At 38.7% G+C, this 26,023-nt stretch overlaps 1 protein-coding gene across 10 annotated transcripts in view, besides 2 other annotated features; it reads left to right on the top strand.

Annotated features, from left to right (window-relative positions):
* COG5 (component of oligomeric golgi complex 5) overlaps positions 1–26,023 on the top strand; it is a 362,549-nt gene that overhangs the window by 30,105 nt on the left and 306,421 nt on the right. For 9 of the 10 annotated variants that reach the window (NM_001379515.1, NM_001379511.1, NM_001379512.1 and 6 more), the window contains exon 6: positions 6,459–6,579. The exons of the other annotated variant lie outside the window; for it this stretch is intronic. In NM_001379515.1, coding sequence (NP_001366444.1) covers positions 6,459–6,579 — 121 coding nt within the window. The remainder of the gene's footprint in view (positions 1–6,458; positions 6,580–26,023) is intronic. 10 annotated transcript variants of the gene reach the window in all.
* Positions 24,871–25,370: an enhancer, noted in NCBI's record as "H3K4me1 hESC enhancer chr7:107148891-107149390 (GRCh37/hg19 assembly coordinates)". NCBI's record gives its function as "activates a minimal SCP1, AML or CMV promoter by ChIP-STARR-seq in naive H9 embryonic stem cells {active_cell/tissue: H9 hESC(naive)}" and the evidence as "EXISTENCE:reporter gene assay evidence [ECO:0000049][PMID:30033119]".
* Positions 25,371–25,872: an enhancer, noted in NCBI's record as "H3K4me1 hESC enhancer chr7:107148389-107148890 (GRCh37/hg19 assembly coordinates)". NCBI's record gives its function as "activates a minimal SCP1, AML or CMV promoter by ChIP-STARR-seq in naive H9 embryonic stem cells {active_cell/tissue: H9 hESC(naive)}" and the evidence as "EXISTENCE:reporter gene assay evidence [ECO:0000049][PMID:30033119]".

The following is a 26,023-nucleotide window of genomic DNA, read 5'->3' as shown; positions in this document are numbered from 1 at the left end:
TTCTCTGTATTTCCTGAATTTGAATGTTGGCCTGTCTTGCTAGGTTAGGGAAGTTCTCCTGGATAATATCTTGAAGTGTGTTTTCCAACTTGGTTCCATTCTCCCCATCGCTTTCGGGTACAGCAATCAAATGTAGGTTTGGTCTTTTCACATAGTCCTGTATTTCTTGGAGGCTTTGTTTGTTCTTTTTCATTCTTTTTTCTCTGATCTTTTCTTCATGCTTTATTTCATTAAGTTGATCGTCAGTCTCTGATATCCTTTCTTCCACTTGATCTATTCGGCTATTGATACTTGTGTATGCTTCACGAAGTTCTCCTGCTGTTTTTCAGCTCAATCAGGTCATTTATGTTCTTTAAACTGGTTATTCTAGTTAGCAATTCCTCTAACCTTTTTTTCAAAGCTCTTAGCTTCCTTGCATTGGGTTAGAACATGCTCCTGTAGCTTGGAGGAGTTTGTTATTACCCGCCTTCTGAAGTCTCCTTCTGTCAATTTGTCAAACTGATTCCCCATCCACTTTTGTTCCCTTGCTGGTGAGGCGTTGTGATCCTTTGGAGGAGAAGAGGTATTCTGGTTTTTGGCATTTTCAGCCTTTTTGTGCTGGTTTTTCCTCATCTTCGTGGATTTATCTACCTTTTGGTCTTTGCTGTTGGTGACCTTTGGATGGAGTTTTTGCATGATGTTGGTGTTGATGCTATTGCTTTCAGTTTATTAGTTTTTCTTCTAACAGTCAGGCCCCTCTGCTGCAGGTCTGCTGGAGTTTGCTGCGGGTCCACTCCAGACCCTGTGTCCTTGAGTATCACCAGTGGAGGCTGCAGAACAGCAAAGACTGACTAGAAAAAAATCACCGTGAGACTAGTGTTAAGCATGAGAACTAGTATTAAATGAAAGTTATAAAGAATAGTGTGTAATGACTATATGTTTTGGCAAAGAAATATAATTCAGCTGTAAAAAACAGTGGGAAGAGCATATGCAAAAAATTTTAAAAACTATTTTCTGCCATCATACTTTTGACTGTAGTGTTTGTTTTGTTGCTCAGGTATTTTCTGTGTATTGTGCAGCAGAGCAAATGAATAATTATACATTATTCTAATTTTGTTATCTCCTGTGTCCTTGAGAGCTAGGAATCTTAATGTGGAAGAAATTATATACTGTTTATATTTATATAGATGTAAGAAGGCTAAATCCTCTACTTCTGATTTTTAATTAGAAGTATCAGTATGAACTTGAGATTCTTTAATGTCATTTAAAAATAGTATATACCTTATATTTGTGTGTATATATATATTTGTGCATATGTATATGTATGTTAATCTGAGAATGTTTTATGTGTATTGTGGCATAAATCAAATGAATATTTATGTGATATTTTAATGCTGGCATTTCCTTGCTATGTCTATGGAAAAGTCCCAGAAATGAACAAACCTAGTTCTGTGAATGTGGTCTTGAAATGCTGTTTTCTGCCTGGGTGCAGTGGTCCATTCCTATAATCCCAGCACTTTGGGAGGCCAAGGCAGGTGGATCACATGAGGTCAGGAGTTCGAGATCAGCCTGGCCAACATGGTGAAACCCCATCTCTACTAAAAATACTAAAATTAGTCAGGCATGGTGGCAGACACATGTAATCCCAGCTACTCAGGTGGCTGAGGCAGGAGAATCGCTTGAACCCTGGAGGGGGAGGTTGCAGTAAGCCAAGGTTGTGCCATTGTACTCTAGCCTGGGCGACAAAAGCGAAACCGTCTCAAAAAAAGAAAAAAAGTAATGCTGTTTTCTACTAAAAGAAACCAGGGCTTCTTTGAGAAATCTTTGATTCCAGGTCTGGGGCATGAAATGTATAAAATGATCCTGGAACATTTTTATACCAGATACCAAGGAGGCTATCAACGACTGCTCGGTTCATGACAAAGGAACTCAGGAACTGACTTGAATAGGCTTTGGGTGACCAGCTATTTTAGTTTTACTACTGAAAGTCCTAAAACTTGGGAAACTTCTCAGTCTCAGGCAAAGTGGTACAGTTAATCACTCTCAGAGGCTTCTGCTGGCCGAAATGGAACACTTTGAGCATCAATAAGGATAAGAGCCATGATGGGTTGGGCATCCCTTATTATGTTTAAATCAATTTCATAATGATATCAAAAAAAAAAAAAAGCAAAACCCCAGAACACCCACCTCCCCCCCGCCCTCACCGACTAATTTTTCATTATTGGTGAATATTAGGAAATTATTTCTTCATTTTGAAAACTAATAAGGGAAAGATTAAGTATTTATTTTTAGTTTTCAGTATGAACAATACTCCTAGGTAAACAAATAGTCAATGAGGTAAAGTTTATTTTTATAGAGAAATTTCATATGCTTATAAATACAAAATGACAGAATTGGATTATTACTATTTTGCAGTCACTTATGTTTCAGTGGATTTTGACATTGAATATCAGTGGCTGATACTCAACACAAAAAGAGAGAAAATCATACATCTCTTAAAATATACCACCCTCTAATGTTTAATCTTGCCAAAAATACTAAACTTAAATCTGATGAAGCTGCCCGCATCCAACTACTAATTTACAGGTAATATAGAAGATAGAGGAACTTGTTAAACTGCATCAAGGGAATACAGTCAACAAAACCCAGTCTGTGGGAAACTTTAGGACAGATGATCCAATATATTCAACAAATTGCAATGAAAAAAAGAGAAGGTGAGAGAACAGATTAAAAACAAGAAAAATTAAACCATAGCACTTAGGTATTTGTACTTCAGTAATAAAAAAAAAAAGTAAGGAAGTGATTAATGTAAAAGAGTAGTGGTTTCTCTTGGTTGGCATGAAGGGTAATGGCATTGGGAGGGAGTAAATGAGGGCTTCTGTGGTGGCTCACATGATCCTGTCTCCTGATCTGTGTGTTGCTTCTAAGTTCCTTTAGCTGTGTATCTCTGAGTGTGGTTTTCCATGCTTGTGTTATATTTAATAGTAAAAGTCTAAGATAAAAAAACAGGGAGGGAAAGGAAATTGATTGGAGGGGAGGCAGCTATATTGGGAAATGGTGAGAACTGATGCCTTATAGATCAACTTATAATAGCTTAGACTTATTAACTAAGGATTTTATTAAATGGTATTCCCAGAAGATTCAACATAATCTGTAAGTAGAGAGCCATTAAAGTTTACTAAAAAGGGGGTTGGAGTGCTGAAAACTGTGTTTTTTTTTTTTTTTTTTTTTTTTTGAGATGGAGTTTCGCTCTTGTTGCCCAGGCTGGAGTGCAATATCACAATCTCGGCTCATCGCAACCTCCGCCTCCCGGGTTCAAGCGATTCTTCTGCCTCAGCCTCCCAAGTAGTTGGGATTACAGGCATATGCCACCACACCCAGCTAATTTTGTATTTTTAGTAGAAATGGGGTTTCTCCATGTTGGTCAGGCTGGTCTCGAACTCTCGACCTAAGGTGATCCGCCCGCCTTGGCCTCCCAAAGTGATGGGATTACAGGCATAAGCCACTGCGTCCGGCCCAAAAACTGCATTTTTAAGAAGATAAATCTGGCTGGGTGGATTTCAATGAGAGACTTGAAAGCTAGCCGAGAAACCACTATGTAAAGGTAATGGTGATAAAGATGTGGATTAGGGTGATGCTTGTAGGAATAGAGGTAAAATAACAACTTTTGTTTTATGCAGTAGGATAGTTGGTAAGACTTGGTGACAGATTAAGTATGGTTGCTAAAAATAAAAACAGTAGAAATAAAGATTGCATGTTTTGAGAGCATACCCTTTGTTGGGTAGGATTAGGGAATTCTGGATGACAGTCTTAGAGTAAGAGCTTAATTTCTTCTTACGATGTATTTAAAATCTCAGAGGAATGAGATTTTACGTTCCAAATTGTTTATCTAAAAATGTCAGTTCTAACAGGGAAGGTGCTGATAATGTTTCCAGTGCAAGATATCCAAGTTACTGGTGTCGAATCCGTACAGGTCTGCAGCAACCTCAATTCTTGCCTCCTCAGAAGAAAGAATTCGACTGAGGGGCATAAGGCAGAAAAAGAGACCAAGGTACATTTCAGAGCAGGAGTGGAAGTTTATTTAAAAAGGCTTTAGAACAGGAAAGAAAGAAAGGAAAGTACGCTTGGAAGAGTCCCACGTGGGCACTGAGGTCAGGTGCAGTGTTTAACCTTGATCCGAGGACTTTATAGCCTGGCTCCTTTCCCAAGATTCTTCCCTTAGGGTGGGCTGCCCACATGTCCAGTGCCCTCCTTACCCTTAAGAGGTGAGCACAGGCAGTGTGTTTAGGAATTTCTATGCATGCCCACCTGAGGCTTTCTTCCTTTTTCAGGTGGAGTGCCCCCGGAAGGTCATACTCCACCATTTTGTGTCTTAAAGCACATGCCCTGGAAGTTGCTTCTCCCTGGCATTTGCATTCAATTAACACTTTAATGCACCAGGCGTGGACCATCAGGAAATGTCCTCTCCCTGGCACTGGCTGCCAATTTATCAGTTTTAGAGAGGCAATGTGATAACTTCCAAATCATCAACCGACGTTCCTAGTGGGTGGGGCAGTAGCCCTCTCCTGCCCCACTCTTGACTGTCTAACTACCTGCAACAATAACAGTGATTGTTTTTGTTAAGTGCATAGTTGGGACAGAGATACGAGGGTGACTTTTCAATGTTATTTCTTTTTATTTCTTGAATTTTGAATCATGTGCTTGTATTATCTATTCAGAAAACGGATAATATTTAATTAAAAGATAAAGATGCCCCAATTGTCAATTTCCATGGGAAAAATTTTCCTTTGGCATTCCTTTTTTTTTTTTTTTATTTAAGTATTTCAGATTAGTTTCTCTGAAAAGCAGTCAGGTAAACATGTTTAATACTTGATTGGCTTTGACTTACATGTGTTTGTAAATATATGTTTGTTTTATGTTTGAGTATGGTGTATGCATACATACGGTGTATTGCTTGTGAGTGCATGGGTGTGGCTGTGTGTGGCTCTGGTGTATGTATTTATTTCACCCATAAAAGAATGTTTATACCTGGAGGTTCAGGGACCCTGGCTTCTCAGAGCTTTTAATTCTTATTGCCACCATGTAGAATTTTTCTCCTTAAACAGGGGAGATGTCCTTGCTTCTCAGTTAGCCTTGGGGCCATTCAAAAATGGTTGTGATGCAGCAGTATGGAATGTCTCTCTTTCCTTTGTAATCACTACTGAGGCTGAAGATCACTACATGTTGGTTATTCAGTATGTCACCCTCTACCACACTCTCCCTCATGCAACTGCTGTGAATCCAGCTTCTGTAATAAAGTGTCCTAAAATACATGAACCTTTATTTCTTATCTCAGCCTTTTGATAGCTAAAGACCTAGTATTAGATCTGGGAAAAGGAATAGGAAGTGTGTGAAATAGTTTTGTTGTTTATGTGCTTTCTCTTTTATAATTTATTAGTGATTAAAAATCACCACGCATGGTGGCTCACACCTGTAATCCTAGCACTTTGGGAGTCTGATGTGGGAGGTTCACCTGAGCCCAGTAGTTTGAGAGCAGCCTGGGCAACATGGCAAAACCTCATCTCCACAAAAAATACAATTAGCCAGGCATGGTGGCACACGCCTGTAGTCCCAGCTACTTGGGAGGCTGAGGCAGAAGGATCGCTTGAGCCCAGGAGGTAGAGGTTGCAGTGAGGTGTGATCATGCCACTGCACTCCAGTTTGGGCAACTGAGCGAGACCCTGTTCTCAAAAAAAAAAAAAAGATTAGGAAAATAATGAAATTGAGAGAAGTTTTAAGACTACTCCTGCAGGATATAGGAAAGAGAAGCTGGGACTGAAAATAACAGGAGGCAGTAGTAGGAAGCTGAGCAACCTAGCATAGTGATTGTCAATTTTGGCTGCACATTGGTACCACCTGGGAATATTAAAAACATGAAAACATAACTCATGCTTGGTTCTAACCCATAGAAATGCTGTTTTAATTGGTCAGGGCTGTGGCCTGGGCATTGGAACATTTTCAGTCTACCCACTTGAATTTGTAATCAAGACTGAGAACCACTGGCCTAGAGAAGAAAGCTGGTTTAGGACTGAAAGAATCCTTGGGTCTCACAGTGCCTCAATTCCAAGTTCTCTCCACTTGGGATGAATTGGAGTTTATTGTAAAATGTAAATATAGTACTTCCGTGTGTTCCCTAGGACATTTGATGCTTTTTAAGACTTGCGATTATTTAGGTTTGTGGTTGGTGGGAAACAAAAAAAGCATGAGTGAATCTTTAGCATCTGGAAAGAATGGGTAGATTCACATATTAAGCACAATGTGAGCCACTGTGTTTTTTTTGTAATTTAAGTTCCGGGATACATGTGCAGGTTTGTTACATAGGTAAACATGTGCCATGGTGGTTTGCTGCACCTATCAACCCACTGTGCTTGTTATTACTATTTATTAATAGTAATAAAACTTCATGGATCAACTAACTTAACATTGTGATGTTTGCACAGGTTGCCTGTGATTTGCTTCGGAGGATTATTCGTATCTTGAATCTCAGTAAGAGACTCCAAGGACAACTGCAAGGGGGAAGTAGAGAGATAACAAAAGCTGCTCAGAGTCTCAATGAACTTGGTAAGTTTTTTTTTTTTTTTAAATAAAAAGTTAGTAGAGATTTAAATATTTTTAAGTCACTTGATTGGTTGACTTTTGTTATCACCATTAGCAAGTACTATTAAACAAATTTTTAAATAATTGGCTGTATACAATATTGTAACACTTCTCAGAATGAGTAAGTACAAGTAGTTGATTTCACTGAAATGCTATTTATTTTAATTATATAGTAAAATTGTCCTTTTTCATATACAGGTCTGTAAATTTTAATACATATACAGATTTATGTAAGCACCATTACAGTCATGATACAGAACAATTCCATCACTCCTCCAGATTCCCTCATTATCCCTTCACGGTGATGCCTACCCGCTTCTGCTAGTCCTGACAGCCACTGATCTTTTCTCCATCATTGTAGTTTTGTCTTTTTGAGAATGACACATAAATGGAATTACAAAGTAGGTGACCTTTTGAGGCTGTCTTCTTGTACTCAAAATAATACCTTTGAGATTTATTCAAGTTTTGGGGTGTACTAATAGTTTGTTACTTTGTGTTTGATTGAATACCATTGTATGAGTAGCCTGCAGTTTGTTTATTGATTCACTGATTGAAGGACATTTGTTGTTGTTTCCAGTTTTTGGTGATTATGAATAGGTGTACAGTTCTTTATGTGAAGTTTTCTTTTCTCTAGGAAATATTCTAGAGAAATGCTGTTTTTAACATGACAAATCCCATGCTGATACTATGCCTAGAAGATTTTAAAAATTTATTTCTTTGTTCATTCTTTTCTCAGACATTTATTGCAGGACCTTGACAGTCAAGAGTTTAATGTTCATGGTTTTGACTATTAACCAGCTGCAAAGTCCATGATGCAGCAGTTCATAATTTTTCAGGCAAAATTTTGAATAGCTAGTGAGTGCACATAGAACTGCCCAACACTTTTAATGTGGCTTGGTGGTTTTCTTCTTTTCACTGGGTACCCACTTATTTTTCTGAAGTGGATATATGTAGTGGCATTTGTACTTTGTAGGCTCAGAAGTCTTTAATTATATCCATTTCAGATATCAAGAGTCTGCTTACTCTTGCTATTGTGCTTTGAAAGCAGTTATGCCAAAATAGTATCAGAGAAATGTACATTACATGTTCTTTCTGAATTTTCCTGTCTTTGATTTTTTGATTATATAGTCATGCTATGCTGTAATGCTTATTCCATATTTTTTGTTAATCAAGGAAATCCTTCACAAATAATGCTTCAACAGCATTGCAATTGTATACTGCTGAAATATAGGTTTTGCTTAGGAAAATCATTGGGAATATCTCTAACTTGTGATTTAGTAGGCTTGGAAAATGTCATATAAAAAGTTGAACTTTTAAGCTGGGTGTGGTGGCTGGTACCTGGAGGCCCAGTTACTTGGGAGGTGGAGGCAGGCAGAATTGCTTGAGGCCAGGAGTTTGAGACCAGCCTGGGTGAACAGAACAGATCTCCTCTTGGCTCTAAAAAGTAAAAATTGAGAAGTAAAGGAAATTAAAACAAAATAAAAGTTGAGCATCATAGCATGTGCCTGCAGTCTCAACTACTTGGGAAACTGAGATGGGAGGATCACTCGAGCCCACAAGTTAGAGGCTGCAGTGAGCTGTTATTGCACCACTGTTCTCCACCCTGGGTGACAGAGCAAGATCTTGACTCTTTAAAAAAAAAAAAAAGTTAACTTTAAACAATGAATAATGCTTGTGTGTTGTTTTCACAGTATTATCTAAACATAGAAGGGTAAAAATCCAAGTATCAGCCACTGTTTTGCTCTATCACATTTAATATCTGTGCACCAACAATAGTTTGTAGGATTATGGAATCATTAAACATAGATGCATATTATTCCAAGGCTTATTATGGATGTTTGTCATCACTGACTTTCCTTCAATATTAAAAAAGTGCTAAATTTTGATTGGATTATGATTATAATTTCTTCTATAATTGACAGATTCTGTAATACAAATGGTCATGTCTTCGAAAAAAAAAAACAAAAACAGGCACAGCCGGGCATGGTGGCTCACGCCTGTAATCCCAGCACTTTGGGAGGCTGAGGCGGGCGGATCATGAGGTCAAGAGATCGAGACCATCCTGGCCAACATGGTGAAACCCCGTCTCTACTAAAAATACAAAAATTAGCTGGGCGTGGTGGTGTGTGCCTGTAATTCCAGCTACTCAGGAGGCTGAGGTAGGAGAATCACTTGAACCCAGGAGGCGGAGGTTGCAGTGAGCCGAGATCTGCAACTGCACTCCAGCCTGGTGACAGAGCAAGACTCTGTCAAAACAAACAAACAAACAAAAAACCCCACAAAAAAACAGGCACAAGTATTGATCATAATGTTCTGAGTTAGTATAATGCAGTGTAAAACCATTATCCTTCCAATGTGCTGTTGGCTTTACCTAAAGTTTTTATAAAGATTGTTAAAAAGTTTTTGAGAAGATATAGTTCATGGTGGAATGATCTCAAAGTGGATTGTGTTAATCTAATTTTTAAAAGCCTTGCAGATGATGTGTGATTTAATATTTGCAAAGACATCATGTCTTTTTTATTCACCACTGTAGTTCAGTCTTGACCAGTCCTGGCATTTATAATAAGGAGAAGCCAAGGAAAAATAAGTTGCTACATTTGGAATTAATATTTGAGTAAAAGTAATAATTTTGCAGTCACTATTACAGTTATACACATGTACACTAAATGACACTTCTGTGATTGGAACTTCTCTAAAATTGTCAGTGTCTTTATCAGTGTGGTTCTGTTTTTCATTAGAAAGCATTAGAAAGAATAAAATAATGAAGAGTAACAGTGTTTATACCATAGACCCTTGAAATTAACTTAAAAGCAATGTTTCAAACTTGAAAGGTTTGAGGCTTGATTTGGGACACCCAGATGAAATACATTGTTGTCTGGAAATTAAGTATATTCTATGAGACTGGGATGTGGAGTGACTACTAGTGGATACAGATTTGTTTTTAGGGTGATGAAAATGTTCTGGAATTAGATAGTCGTGACTTTTGTGCCACCTTGTCAGTGTACTAAAAACCACTGCATTGTACACTTTGAAAGGGAGAGTTTTATGTTACGTAAATTTGAAATTCGTCAGTGTTGTGTGTATTAATACCTTTGCCTTTTTATTATGGACTAGTATTCCATTGATAGATCATAGCTGGTTTATCCATTTACATGCTGATGGACAGTTGGGTTGTTCCTAATTTTTTAATATTATAAATTAAGCTGCTATGAACATTCATGTACAAGTCTTTGTAGGAACATATCCTTTCATTTCTCTTGGATAAATACCTAGGATTGGAATGTCTAGATCATATGGTAGGTATATGTTTAACTTTTTAAAAAATTGCCAAGATTATTTTTCAAAGTTGTTGTAATGTTTACATTCTTTTTTTTTTTTTCTTTTTGAGACAAAGTTTTGCTGTTGTTGCCCAGGCTAGAGCACAATGGCGCAATCTCGCCTCACGGCAACCTCCGCCTCCCGGGTTTAAGCAATTCTCCTGCCTCAGCCTCCTGAGTAGCTGGAATTACAGGCGCCCACCACCATGCCCGGCTAATTTTTGTATATTTAGTAGAGACGGGGTTTCACCATGTTGACCAGGCTGGTCTTGAACTTCTGACCTCAGGTGATCCACCCTTCTCGGCCTCCCAAAGTGCTGGGATTACAGGCGTGAACCACCGCGCCCAGCCAATGTTTACATTCTTACCAGTAGTATTTGAAAGTTCTACTTCCCCCTACAACCATGCCAACACATGTTACACTGTCTTAATTTTAGTCATTCTAATAGGTATGTCGTGGTATCTTGTTTTGAGTTTTCAAAAAAAGCTGTAGTTAATAAAAGAGTTGAGTAAGGTTTCAATATACTAGATAAATATACAAAAAATTAATTGTATTTCTGTATACTCTTAGCAACAAGCAATTGGAAATTGAAATTCAAAAATACCACTTATAACAGCATAAAAATATGACAGACTTAAGGATAAGTCTAACAAAAGATGTGTAAAACCTGTACACTGAAAACTACAAAATATTGTTGAGAACAAAGAAGACCTAAATCAATCAATCAGTCAATGTTGTTCATCAGTTGGAAGACTTAATATTGTTTATTAAGATGTATGTTCTTCCCAACTTGATCTATGAATTCAACAGAATTTCAGTTTAAATTCCAGGGGGGCTTTTAGAAATTGACAAGCTGATTTTAAAATTCATATAGAAATTCAGAGGATCTCGAATAGCTAGAATAACTTTTAAGAGAAAACAGAGTTGGAGGAATAACCCTACCTGATTTGAAGACTTATTACAAAGACTCCTTGAAGTAATCAAGACATAAAGATCAATGGAACAGAGATCTCAGAAATAGACCCACATATATATGAACAACTGATTTTTGACACATTTAGTAGAGAAAAAAATAGTCTTTTCAACAGATGGTGCAGGAACAATTGGATCTCAATATGCAAAACAGTGAACTTGTATCCATACTTCATTTCATATAAAAATATTAACTCAGAATGAATTCGTGTCCTAAATGTAAAATCTAAAACTACAGAACTTAAAGTAGGAGACTCAGAAGATTTTTTTATTTTTATTTTTATTTTTTTCTTTTCTTCTTTTCTTAAATTTTTAATTTTACTTTAAGTTCCGGGATACATGTGCAGAACATGCAGGTTTGTTACATAGTTATACATGCGCCATGGTGGTTTGCTGCATCTATCAACCTGTCATCTAGGTTTTGTTGTTGTTGTTGTTTTTTGAGACGGAGTTTCACTCTCGTTGCACAGGCTGGAGTGCAATGGCGCAATCTCCGCTCACCGCAACCTCCGCCTCCTGGGTTCAAGCGACTCTCTTGCCTCAGCCTCCTGAGTAGCCGGGATTACAGGCATTCACCACCACGCCTGGCTAATTTTGTATTTTTAGTAGAGACAGGGCTTCTCCATGTTGGTCAGGCTGATCTTGAACTCCTGACTTCAGGTGACCTGCCCGCCTCGGCCTCCCAAAGTGCTGGGATTACAGGCGTGAGCCACTGCGCCTGGCCTAGGTTTTAAGCCTCATATGCATTAGTTATTTATCCTAATGCTCTCTCTCCCCTGCCCCCTGCCCCCTGACAGTCCCTGGTGTGTGTTGTTCCCCTCCCTGTGTCCAAGTGTTCTCGTTGTTCAACTCCCATTTACGAGTGAGAATGTGCAGTGTTTGGTTTTCTATTCCTGTGCTAGTTTGCTGAGGATGAAGGCTTCCAGCTTCATCCATGTCCCTGCCAAGGACATGATTTCATTTTTTTTTATGGCTGCATGGTGTGTGTAGCACATTTTCTTTATCCAATCTATCGTTGATGGACATTTGCGTTGGTTTCATGTCTTTGCTACTGTAAGTAGTGCTGCAGTAAACATACATGTGCATGTGTCTTTACAGTAGAATGATTTATATTCCTTTGGGTATATCCCAGTAATGGGATTGCTGGGGCAAATGGTATTTCTGGTTCTAGATACTTGAGGAATCGCCACACTTTCTTCCACAACTGTTGAACTAATTTACATTCCCACCAACAGTGTAAAAGCATTCCTATTTCTCCACAGCCTCATCAGCATCTATTGTTTCTTGACTTTTTAGTAATTGCCATTGGCGTGAGGTGGTATCTCATTATGGTTTTGATTTGCCTTTCTGTAATGATCAGTGATGTTAAGCTTTTTAAAATGTTTGTTGGCTGCATAAATGTCGTCTTTTGAGAAGAGTCTATTCATAACCTTTGCCCACTTTGTGATTTTTTGTTTGTTTCCTTGTAAATTTGTGTAAGTTCCTTGTAGATGCTGGATATTAGACATTTGTCAGATGGGTAGATTGCAAAATTTTTCTTCCATCCTGTAGGTTGCCTGTTCAGTCTGATGATAGTTTCTTTTGCTGTGCAGAAGCTCTTTAGTTTAATTAGATACCATTTATCAATTTTTGTTTTTGTTGCATTTGCTTTTGGCGTTTTCATCATGAAATCTTTGCCCATGCCCATGCCCTGAATGGTCTTGTCTATGTTTTCATCTAGCGTTTTTATACTTTTGGGTTTTACATTTAAGTCTTTAATCTATCTTGAGTTAATTTTTGAATAAGGTATAAGGAAGGAGTGCAGTTTCAGTTTTCTGCATACGGCTAGCCAGTTTTCCCAGCACCATTTATTAAATAGGGAATCTTTTCCCCATTGCTTGTTGTTGTCCAATTTGTTGAAGATCAGCTGGTTGTACATGTGTAGTGTTATTTCTGAGGTCTCTGTTCTGTTTCATTAGTTACATATCTCTTTTGGTACCAGGACCATGCTGTTTTGGTTACTGTAGCCTTGTAGTATAGTTTGAAGTCAGATCTCATGATGCCTCCAGTTTTGTTCCTTTTGCTTAGGATTGTCTTGGCTATATGAGCTCTTTTTTGGTTCCATATGAAATTTAAAGTAGTTTTTTCTAACTCTGTGAAGAATGTTAATGGTAGTTTGATAGGAATAGCATTGAATCTATAAATTACTTTGGATAGTATGGCCATTTTCACAGTATTGATTCTTCCTATCCATGAGCATGGAATGTTTTCTTATTAGTTTGTGTCTTCTCTTATTGCCTTGAGCTGTGGTTTGTAGTTCTCCTTGAAGAGGTCCTTCACTTCCCTTAGTAGCTGTGTTCCTAGATATTTTATTCTCTTTGTAGCAGTTGTGAGTGGGAGTTCATTCATGATTGGGCTCTCTGCTTGCCTGTTGTTGGTGTATAGGAATGCTTGTGATTTTTGCACATTGATTTTGTATCCTGAGACTTCACTGAAGTTGCTTATCAATTTAAGGAGTTTTTGGGCTGAGACTATGGGGTTTTCTAAATATACAGTTATGTCATCTGGAAACAGACAATTTGACTTCCTCTCTTCCTATTTGAATACGCTTTATTTCTTTCTGTTGCCTGCTTGCCCTGGCCAGAACTTCCAATGCTATGTTGAATAGGAGAGGTGAGAGAGGGCATCCTTGTCTTGTGCCTGTTTTCAAAGGGAATGCTTCCAGCTTTTGCCCATTTAGTATGATATTGGCTATGGGTTTGTCATAAATAGCTCTCATTATTTTGAGATATGTTCCATCAGTACCTAGTTTATTGAGAGTTTTTAACATGAAGGTGTGTTGAATTTTATCAGAGCCCTTTTCTGTGTCTGTTGAGGTAATCTTATGTTTTTTTGTCATTGGTTCTGTTTATGTGATGGATTATGTTTATTGATTTGCATATGTTGAACCAGCCTTGCATCCCGTGGATGAAGCCGAGTTGATCGTGGTGGATAAGTTTTTTACTGTGCTGCTGGATTCGGTTTGCCAGTATTTTATTGAGGATTTTCACATCGATGTTCATCAGGGATATTCGCCTGAAGTTTTCTTTTTTTGTTGTGTCTCTGCCAGATTTTGGTATCAGAGTGATGCTGACCTCATAAAATGAGTTAGGGAGGAGTCCCTCCTTTTCAGTTGTTTGGAATATCATCTGAAGGAGTGGTACCAGCTCCTCTTTGTACCTCTGGCAGAATTCGGCTGTGAATCCGTCTGGTCCTGGGCTTTTTTGGCTGGTAGGCTATTAATTAGTGCCTCAATTTTGGGACTTGTTATTAGTCTATTCAGAGATTTGACTTCTTCCTGGCTTAGTCTTGGGAGTGTGTATGTGTCCAAGTATTTTTCCATTTCTTCTAGATTTTCTAGTTCATTTGCGTAGAGGTTTTTATAGTATTCTCTTGGTGGTAGTTTGTATTTCTTTGGGGTCAGTGGTGATATCCCCTTTATCATTTTTTATTGTGTCTACTTGATTCTTCTCTCTTTTCTTTATTAGTCTAGCTAATGCTCTATTTTGTTAATTTTTTCAAAAAACCAGCTCCTGGATTCATTAATTTTTTGAAGGATTTTTCGTGTCTGTGTCTCCTTCAGTTCTGCTCTGATCTTAGTCATTTCTTGTCTTCTGCTAGCTTTTGGGTTTGTTTGCTTTTGCTTCTCTAGTTCTTTTAATTGTGATGTTAAGGTGTCGATTTTAGATCTTTCCTGCTTTCTCCTGTGGGCATTTAGTGCTATAAATTTCCCTCTAAACACTGCTTTAAATGTGTCCCAGAGATTCTGGTATGTTGTCTCTTTGTTCTAATTGGTTTCAAAGAACTTCTTGATTTCTTCCTTTAATTTTGTTATTTACCCAGGAGTCATTTAGGAGCGGTTGTTCAATTTCCATGTAGTTATTTGGTTTTGAGTGAGTTTCTTAATCCCGAGTTCTAATTTGATTGCATTGTGGACTGTTTGTTATGATTTCCATTCTTTTGCATTTGCTGACAAGTGTTTATTTCCAATTATGAGGTTGATTTTAGAATAACTGCCTTGTGGCACTGAGAAGAATGTATATTCTGTTGATTTAGAATGGAGAGTTCTGTAGATGGCTGTTAGGTCCACTTGATCCAGAGTGAGTTCAAGTCGTGAATATCCTCGTTAATTTTCTGTCCCGTTGATCTGTCTAATGTTGACAGTGGGGTGTTAAAGTCTCCCACTATTACTGTGTGGGAGTCTGAGTCTCTTTGTAGGTCTCTAAGAACTTGTTTTATGAATCTTGGTGCTCCTCTCTTGGGTGTATATATATTTAGGATAGTTAGCTTTTCTTGTTGAATTGATCCATTTATGATTATATAATGACCTTCTTTGTCTTTTTTGATCTTTGTTGGTTTAAAGTCTCTTTTATTAGAGACTAGGATTGTAACCCCTGCTTTTTTTTGTTTCCCATTTGCTTGGTAAATTTTCATCTATCCTCTTATTTTGAGCCTATGTATATCTTTGCACGTGAGATGGGTCTCCTGAATATAGCTCATCAGTTGATCTTGACTCTTTATTCAATTTGCCAGTCTGTACCTTTTTAATTGGGACATTTAGCCCATTTACATTTAAGGTTAAAATTGTTATGTGTGAATTTGATCCTGTCATCATGATGCTAACTTGTTATTTTGCACACTAGTTGATGCAGTTTCTTCATAGTGTCATTGGTGTTTTCATTTTGGTATGCTTTTGCAGTGGCTGGTACTGGTTTTTCCTTTCCATATTTAGTGCTTCCTTCAGTAGCTCTTGCAAAGCAGGCCTGGTGGTGATGAAATCCCTTAGCATTTGCTTGTCTAGAAAGGATTTCCTTTCTTATTTCTGCTTTGTTCATGAAGCTTAGTTTGGCTGGATATGAAATTCTGGGTTGAAAATTCTTCTCTTTAAGAATGCTGAGGCCAGGCGCAGTGACTCATGCCTGTAATCCCAGCACTTTGGGACGCCGAGGCGGGCAGATCTCGAGGTCAGGAGTTCGAGACCAGCCTGACCAACATAGTGAAACCCCTTCTCTACTGAAAATAGAAAAATTAGCCAGGCGTGATGGTGCACACCTGTAATCCCAGCTACTCAGGAGGCTGAGGCAGGAGAATCACTTGAACCTGGGAGGCAGAGGTTGTGGTGAGCCGAGATTGCGCCACTGCACTGCAGCCTGGGCGACAGAGTGAGACTCCATCACAAAAAAAAAAAAAAGGAATGTTGAATGTTGGCCCCCACTCTCTTCTGGCTTGTAGAGTTTCTGCTGAGAGATCCGCTGTTAGTCTGATGGGCTTCCCTTTTCTAGGTGACCTGACCTTTTTCTCTGGCTGCTCTTAACATTTTTTCCTTCAATTCAACCGTGAAGAATCTGATGATTATATGTCTTGGGGTTTATCTTCTCATGGAATATCTTAGTGGTGTTCTCTGTATTTCCTGAATTTGAATGTTGGCCTGTCTTGCTAGGCTGGGGAAGTTCTCCTGGATAATATCCTGAAGAGTCTTTTCCAACTTGATTCCATTCACCCCATCTCTTTCAGGTACTCCAATCAATCATAGGTTCTTTATTTTTACATAGTTCCATATTTCTCCGAGATTTTGTTCATTTTTTTTTCATTCTTTTTTCTCTAATCTTGTCTGTATGCCTTATTTCAGCAAGGTGATCTTCAGACTCTGATATCCTTTCTTCCACTTGATCTATTCGGCTGTTGATACTTGTGTATGCTTCACTAAGTTTTTCAGCTGCATCAAGTCATTAATGTTCCCCTCTAAACTGGTTATTCTAGTTAGCAGCTCCTGTAACCTTTTATCAAGGTTCTTAGCTTCTTTGCATTGGGTTAGAACATGCTTCTTTAGCTCAGCAGAGTTTGTAATTACCCACCTTCTGAAGCCTACTTCTGTCAATTAGTTCATCTCATCCTCCGTCCAGTTCTGCGCCCTTGCTGGAGAGCTGTTGCGATCATTTGGAGGAGAAGACGCATTCTGGTTATTGGAATTTTCAGCATTTTTTCACTGGTTTTTCCTCATCTTTGTGGATTTATCTACCTTTGATCTTTGAGGCTGATGACCTTTGGGTGGGGTTTTTGTGTGGGGGTCTTTTTGTTGTTGTTGTTGTTGCTTTCTGTTTGTTAGTTTTTCTTCCAACGGACCCCTCTTCTGCAGGTCTGCTGCAGTTTGCTGGGGGTCCACTGCAGACCCTGTTCACCTGGGTATCACCAGTGGAGGCTGCAGAACAGAAAAGATTGCTGCCTGCTCCTTCCTCTGGAAGCTTCGTCCCAGAGGGTCACTGGCCTGATGCCAGCTGGAGCTCTCCTGTATGAGGTGTCTGTCAACTCCTGTTGGGAGGTCTCTCCCAGAAACATAGAAGATTTCTGTGACTTTGAATTAGACAGTGATTCTTAGATATTACCCAAAGCACAATTCACAAGAGAATAAAGTTGATAAATTAGATTTCATCAAAATTTAAGAAGCTCTTCAAATGATACTGTTACGAGAATAAAAAGACAAACTGTGGACAAGGAGAAAATATTTGCAAAGTATATTTGATAGAGGACTTGCATCCAGACATATCAAAAGACTCAAAACTTAATAGGAACTCCAACAACCCACTTAAAAAATAGGCAAAAGAGTTGAACAGACACTTCACCCAAGATGATGACAGATACGCATCTGTAAACATGCTCAACATCGTTAGGCATTAGGGAAATGAAAATGAAAAGTATACTATTATCTTATTGTCAGAGAATAAGCAGAATTATTTTAGTGCAGACATATTTATTGTACTTTTTAATGCAGGTTATTATGTAATAGTTTAAAAAATAAAACTACAAAGTGTAGATTGAATGATTAAGTTATATCACATAGATTCATGATTTTTCTTTAAGAAGAGTCTTGGGACTAGATGAAAATTTAGATAGGCATTACTACAAAGTGGTGATGTTATTTAAGCATGAGTAAGGTAATGTACTTAACTACATTCATGGCTGCCAAGAGACAGTATTTACCTGGGTAAATTTGTCATAATCCAGGATCTGTTCTCTTTCTTACTCTTTCTGGCTTAGAAACTTTATTTTGCTATACTGAGAATTGATTTAATAATTGTTTATAGATATTTTATTGCCTGACTTGTTCTAAAGAGGGCATTAATTTGACTAACAGTAAATCAAAAGATAATGAAAAAGAGGCTAGCAACAAGAGTAAAAGAAGGATGATTTGTAGGGAGTTTCTTTGACAGCCCAGCTTTTACATTAAAGTCCTCAATTGAGGCAGGAAGGATTCATCATTCTCCTCTCCACCTCCCATCGATGGATACTCTGCTTTTGAGGGGAAATGGAATATGGGATTCACAGGAGGGTGAGGATGACTGTATCTCTTATACACCATAATGACAACTCATCCTTCTGAAATTTTCCCAATTCTGTATATTAATGCATTTAGTCTCTCGAATGTTAGAACGATTCTCTACTAATCCCACTTGTGAAAACAGAATTGTTAGTATATTTATGGTTGAAATGTATAGGTTACCGTGATAAACTTTGTATCTTTTTTTTAATGTTCTTGGCTGAATCAATCTCTTCGTTTTATGAAGTCTGCTTATATATCTAGCAAGATTTTTAGTTTTCATCAATAATATATCTATATCCCACATATTGAGTCTCATGATAACATTAATTCTAGGTAGCTATTTAGTATTATCTAATCTATTTTTGACTTATCCTACAAATAGAGATTAAAGGAGGAAAAATTTCCCATAAAGTAACCAGACCATACCTTCATGAATGAATACTCTTTAGTCTGTTTATGAAAATCATGATTTATAATTCGTTTAATTTATTTATCAAACAATTAGGTTTCAATATACATAAGCCCTGTAGCTTGTTAGAATCTCCTACAGAGTGAGTAAAATGCAGTTTCTGTGTTTGAGAAGTGTAAGATCTGTCCTTATCTATAAACTCAGCATAAAACTGATAATGACAACAACAATATATTGATGATGATGATGATAATATCCATGGGGTAAACCAGTCTCTGCCTAGTCTTCCTATTTTGGCTCATCTGCACTTTGCATGAAGTAACAATAAAAAAAACTTTGGTCATTCTTTTATCATAAAACTTGGAAAAATTCATTTACTTATTCAGCCATTGTTTATTGAATATCTACTATGTGTGCTATGTGCTATTCCAGACACTGAAAACACAAGACACTGAACAAAACAGAAACCCCCTACCCTTTGTAGAATGTATATTCCAGTGGGTCCTAAGGACACCCATCTGGTGTATCTGTAAAAATCTGATTCTAAAGCCTGAGCTGGTAAACCACCAATGCTATACTCTTTTCTTAAACTCTGTGGCAGCATTTAATTGCTTCATAAAAGGGATTTCTGCTATTGGTAGGTCTCCCAGTGTCCTTTAAAAAAATCACATTATTATTGTACTTTCTAAGAATACTTTATACAAAATAGGTTTAAATGTATATTATAATTAAGTGAAAATGAGAAAATGACTTCTGATTGAGCTATAACCTCATAATAAACCAAAATATAAAATATGTGTGTGTGTGTGTGTGTGTGTGTGTGTGTGTGTGTGTGTAAAATAGGCCATGTTTATATAGAAAATGTATTTTATGTTAGGATTGTGGGTTGACTGTTGTTAGTAACTTAATATTCTATTTTAAAGCTTTATTGCATTATTGAAGAATCATTTTTTAAAAGTATAATCAAGCAATTGGATATGATAGAAAATATTTCCTCTACTAATTTTAATCGCTTATGGTCTATTTTCTGAGTTTTACATTTTTATTGCCTAGCTGCAATATATTAACACCACGTGTCATGAGAGAATATTCTTTTATTTTATTTTATTTTATTATTATTATACTTTAAGTTTTAGGGTACATGTGCACAATGTGCAGGTTTGTTACATATGTATACATGTGCCATGTTGGTGTGCTGCACCCATTAACTCGTCATTTAGCATTAGGTATATCTCCTAATGCTTTCCCTCCCCTCTTCCCCCACCCCACAACAGTCCCCGGAGTGTGATGTTCCCCTTCCTGTGTCCATGTGTTCTCATTGTTCAGTTCCCACCTATCAGTGAGAAGATATGGTGTTTGGTTTTTTGTCCTTGCAATAGTTTGCTGAGAATGATGGTTTCCAGCTTCATCCATGTCCCTACAAAGGACATGAACTCTTCATTTTTTATGGCTGCATAGTATTCCATGGTGTATATGTGCCACATTTTCTTAATCCAGTCTATCATTGTTGGACATTTGGGTTGGTTCCAAGTCTTTGCTATTGTGAATAGTGCCACAGTAAACATACGTGTGCATGTGTCTTTATAGCAGTGTGATTTATAATCCTTTGGGTATATACCCAGTAATGGGATGGCTGGGTCAAATGGTATTTCTAGTTCTAGATCCCTGAGGAATCGCCACACTGACTTGCACAATGGTGGAACTAGTTTACAGTCCCACCAACAGTGTAAAAGTGTTGCTATTTCTCCACATCCTCTCCAGCACCTGTTGTTTCCTGACTTTTTAATGATCGCCATTCTAACTGGTGTGAGATGGTATCTCATTGTGGTTTTGATTTGCATTTCTCTGATGGCCAGTGATGATGAGCATTTTTTCATGTGTCTTTTGGCTGCATAAATGTCTTCTTTTGAGAAGTGTCTGTTCATATCCTTTGCCCACTTTTTGATGGGGTTGTCTGTTTTTTTCTTGTAAATTTGTTTGAGTTCATTGTAGATTCTGGATATTAGCCCTTTGTCAGATGAGTAGGTTGCAAAAATTTTCTCCCATTTTGTAGGTTGCCTGTTCACTCTGATGGTAGTTTCTTTTGCTGTGTAGAAGCTCTTTAGTTTAATTAGATCCCATTTGTCAATTTTGTCTTTTGTTGCCATTGCTTTTGGTGTTTTAGACATGAAGTCCTTGCCCATGCCTATATCCTGAATGGTATTGCCTAGGTTTTCTTCTAGGGTTTTTATGGTTTTAGGTCTAACATGTAAGTCTTTAATCCATCTTGAATTAATTTTTGTATAAGGTGTAAGGAAGGGATCCAGTTTCAGCTTTCTACATATGGCTAGCCAGTTTTCCCAGCACCATTTATTAAATAGGGAATCCTTTCCCCATTGCTTGTTTTTGTCAGGTTTGTCAAAGATCAGATGGTTGTAGATATGCGGCATTATTTCTGAGGGCTCTGTTCTGTTCCATTGGTCTATACCTCTGTTTTGGTACCAGTACCATGCTGCTTTGGTTACTGTAGCCTTGTAGTATAGTTTGAAGTCAGGTAGCATGATGCCTCCAGCTTTGTTCTTTTGGCTTAGGATTGACTTGGCAATGTGGGCTCTTTTTTGGTTCCATATGAAGTTTAAAGTAGTTTTTTCCAATTCTGTGAAGAAAGTCATTGGTAGCTTGATGGGGATGGCATTGAATCTATAAATTACCTTGGGCAGTATGGCCATTTTCACGATATTGATTCTTCCTACCCATGAGCATGGAATGTTCTTCCATTTGTTTGTGTCCTCTTTTATTTCACTGAGCAGTGGCTTGTAGTTCTCCTTGAAGAGGTCCTTCACATCCCTTGTAAGTTAGATTCCTAGGTATTTTATTCTCTTTGAAGCAATTGTGAATGGGAGTTCACTCATGATTTGGCTCTCTGTTTGTCTGTTATTGGTGTATAAGGATGCTTGTGATTTTTGCACATTGATTTTGTATCCTGAGACTTTGCTGAAGTTGCTTATCAGCTTAAGGTGATTTTGGGCTGAGACAGTGGGGTTTTCTAGATATACAATCATGTCATCTGCAAACAGGGACAATTTGGCTTCCTATTTTCCTAATTGAATACCCTTTATTTCCTTCTCCTGCCTAATTGCCCTGGCCAGAACTTCCAACACTATGTTGAATAGGAGTGGTGAGAGAGGGCATCCCTGTCTTGTGCCAGCTTTCAAAGGGAATGCTTCCAGTTTTTGCCCATTCTGTATGATATTGGCTGTGGATGTGTCATAGATAGCTCTTATTATTTTGAGATATGTCCCATCAATACCTAATTTATTGAGAGTTTTTAGCATGAAGTGTTGTTGAATTTTGTCAAAGGCCTTTTCTGCATCTATTGAGATAATCGTGTGGTTTTTGTCTTTGGTTCTGTTTATATGCTGGATTACATTTATTGATTTTCATATGTTAAACCAGCCTTGCATCCCAGGGATGAAGCCCACTTGATCATGGTAGATAAGCTTTTTGATGTGCTGCTGGATTCGGTTTGCCAGTATTGTATTGAGGATTTTTGCATCAGCGTTCATCAAGGATATTGGTCTAAAACTCTCTTTTTTTGTTGTGTCTCTGCCAGGCTTTGGTATCAGGATGATGCTGGCCTCATAAAGTGAGTTAGGGAGGATTCCCTCTTTTTCTATTGATTGGAATAGTTTCAGAAGGAATGGTACCAGCTCCTCCTTGTACGTCTGGTAGAATTTGGCTGTGAATCCATCTGCTCCTGGACTTTTTTTGGTTGGTAAGCTATTGATTATTGCCACAATTTCAGAGTCTGTTATTGGTCTATTCAGAGATTCAACTTCTTCCTGTTTTAGTCTTGGGATGGTGTATGTGTCGAGGAATTTATCCATTTCTTCTAGATTGTCTAGTTTATTTGCGTAGAGGTGTTTGTAGTATTCTGTGATGGTAGTTTGTATTTCTGTGGGATCGGTGGTGATATCCCCTTTATCATTTTTTATTGCATCTATTTGATTCTTCTCTCTTTTCTTCTTTATTAGTCTTGCTAGCAGTCTATCAGTTTTGTTGATCTTTTCAAAAAACCAGCTCCTGGATTCATTAATTTTTTGAACGGTATTTTGTGTCTCTATTTCCTTCAGTTCTGCTCTGATTTTAGTTATTTCTTGCCTTCTGCTAGCTTTTGAATGTGTTTGCTCTTGCTTTTCTAGTTCTTTTAATTGTGACGTTAGGGTGTCAATTTTGGATCTTTCCTGCTTTCTCTTGTGGGCATTTAGTGCTATAAATTTCCCTCTACACACTGCTTTGAATGTGTGCCAGAGATACTGGTATGTTGTGTCTTTGTTTCCGTTGGTTTCAGAGAACATCTTTATTTCTGCCTTCATTTCGTTATGTACCCAGTAGTCATTCTGGAGCAGGTTGTTCAGTTTCCATGTAGTGGAGCGGTTTTGAGTGAGTTTCTTAATCCTGAGTTCTAGTTTGATTGCACTGTGGTCTGAGAGACAGTTTGTTATAATTTCTGTTTACATTTGCTGAGGAGTGCTTTACTTCCAGCTATGTGGTCAATTTTGGAATAGGTGTGGTGTGGTGCTGAAAAGAATGTATATTCTGTTGATTTAGGGTGGAGAGTTCTGTAGATGTCTATTAGGTCCGCTTGGTGCAGAGCTGAGTTCAATTCCTGGGTATCCTTTTTAACTTTCTGTCTCGTTGATCTGTCTAATGTTGACAGTGGGTTGTTAAAGTCTCCCGTTATTATTGTGTAGGAGTCTAAGTCTCTTTGTAGGTCACTAAGGACTTGCTTTATGAATCTGGGTTGTCCTGTATTAGGTGCATATACATTTAGGATAGTTAGCTCTTCTTGTTGAATTGATCCCTTTACCATTATGTAATGGCCTTCTTTGTCTCTTTTGATCTTTGTTGGTTTAAAGTCTGTTTTATCAGAGACTAGGATTGCAACCCCTGCCTTTTTTTGTTTTCCATTTGCTTGGTAGATCTTCCTCCATCCCTTTATTTTGAGCCTATGTGTGTCTCTGCACGTGAGATGGGTTTCCTGAATACAGCACACTGATGGGTCTTGACTCTATCCAGTTTGTCAGTCTGTGTCTTTTAATTGGAGCATTTAGCCCATTTACATTTAAGGTTAATATTGTTATGTGTGTATTTGGTCTTGTCATTATGATGTTAGCTGGTTATTTTGCTCGTTAGTTGATGCAGTTTCTTCCTAGCCTTGATGGTCTTTACATTTTGTCATGTTTTTGCAGTGGCTGGTACCGGTTGTTCCTTTCCATGTTTAGTGCTTCTTTCAGGAGCTCTTTTAGGGCAGGCCTGGTGGTGACAAAATCTCTCAGCATTTGCTTGTCTGTAAAGGATTTTATTTCCCCTTCACTTATGAAGCTTAGTTTGGCTGGATATGAAAATTCTGGGTTGAAAATTCTTTTCTTTAAGAATGTTGAATATTGGTCCCCACTCTCTTCTGGCTTGTAGAGTTTCTGCCGAGAGATCCGCTGTTAGTCTGATGGGCTTCCCTTTGTGGGTAACCCGACCTTTCTCTCTGGCTGCCCTTAACATTTTGTCCTTCATTTCAACTTTGGTGAATCTGACAATTACGTGTGTTGGAGTTGCTCTTCTCGAGGAGCATCTTTGTGGCGTTCTCTGTATTTCCTGAATCTGAATGTTGGCCTGCCTTGCTAGATTGGGGAAGTTCTCCTGGATAATATCCTGCAGAGTGTTTTCCAACTTGGTTCCATTCTCCCCATCACTTTCAGGTACACCAATCAGACGTAGACTTGGTCTTTTCACATAGTCCCATATTTCTTGGAGGCTTTGTTCATTTCTTTTTATTCTTTTTTTCTCTAAACTTCCCTTCTCGCTTCAGTTCATTCATTTCGTCTTCCATCACTGGTACCCTTTCTTCCAGTTGATCGCATCAGCTCCCGAGGCTTCTGCATTCTTCACGTAGTTCTTGAGCCTTGGCTTTCAGCTACCTCAGCTCCTTTAAGGACTTCTCTGCATTGGTTATTCTAGTTAGCCATTCGTCTACTTTTTTTTCAAGGTTTTTAACTTCTTTGCCATTGGTTCGAACTTTCTCCTTTAGCTCAGAGTAGTTTGATCTTCTGAAGCCTTCTTCTCTCAACACGTCAAAGTCATTCTCCTTCCAGCTTTGTTCCATTGCTGGTGAGGAGCTGCGTTCCTTTGGAGGAGGAGAGGCGCTCTGATTTTTAGGGTTTCCAGTGTTTCTGCTTTGTTTTTTTCCCATCTTTGTGGCTTTATCTACTTTTGGTCTTTGATGTTGGTGATGTACAGAAGGGTTTTTGGTGTGGATGTCCTTTCTGTTTGGTAGTTTTCCTTTTAACAGACAGGACCCTCTGCTACAGGTCTGTTGGAGTTTGCTAGAGGTCCACTCCAGACCCTGTTTGCCTGGGTATCAGCAGCGGTGGCTGCAGAACAGCGGTGGCTGTAGAACAGTGGATGTTGGTGAACCGCAAATGCTGCTGCCTGATCGTTCCTCTGGAAGTTTTGTCTCAGAGGAGTACCCGGCCGTGTAAGGTGTCAGTGTGCCCCTACTGGGGGGTGCCTCCCAGTTAGGCTGCTCGGGGGTCACGGACCCACTTGAGGAGGCAGTCTGCCCATTCTCAGATCTCCAGCTGCGTAGTGGAAGAACCACTACTCTCTTCAAAGCTGTCAGACAGGGACCTTTAAGTCTGCAGAGGTTACTGCTGTCTTTTTGTTTGTCTGTGCCCTGCCCCCAGAGGTGGAGCCTACAGAGGCAGGCAGGCCTCCTTGAGCTGTGGTGGGCTCCACCCAGTTGGAGCTTCGGGGCTGCTTTGTTTACCTAATCAAGCCTGGGCAATGGCAGGCGCCCCTCCCCCAGCCTTGCTGCTGCCTTGCAGTTTGATCTCAGACTGCTGTGCTAGCAATCAGCGAGACTCTGTGGGCATAGGACCCTCCGAGCCAGGTGCGGGATATAATCCCCTGGTGTGCCGTTTTTTTAAGCCCATTGGAAAAGTGCAGTATTAGGGTGGGAGTTACCCGATTTTCCAGGTGCCTTCTGTCACCCCTTTCTTTGACTAGGAAAGGGAACTCCCTGACCCCTTGCTCTTCCCGAGTGAGGCAATGCCTCGCCCTGCTTCGGCTCGTGCATGGTGCGTTGCACCCACTGTCTTGCACCCACTGTCTGGCACTCTCTAGTGAGATGAACGCGATACCTCAGATGGAAATGCAGAAATCACCCGTCTTCTGCGTCGCTCACGCTGGGAGCTGTTCCTGTTCAGCCATCTTAGCTCCACCCACCCCATGAGAGAATATTCTTAAAACCAAATACGTCATAGAAGCATTATGATACATTTATTGTGGAAGAGAGGGGTAGTTTAAACTTGTTTCATCCACTGATGTTCTTATTGTAG

The sequence above is a fragment of the Homo sapiens genome, chromosome 7 (assembly GCF_000001405.40).
Source record: "Homo sapiens chromosome 7, GRCh38.p14 Primary Assembly".
NCBI classification, from domain to species: Eukaryota; Metazoa; Chordata; class Mammalia; order Primates; family Hominidae; genus Homo; species Homo sapiens.
This window is presented reverse-complemented; position numbering and strand designations above follow the sequence as displayed.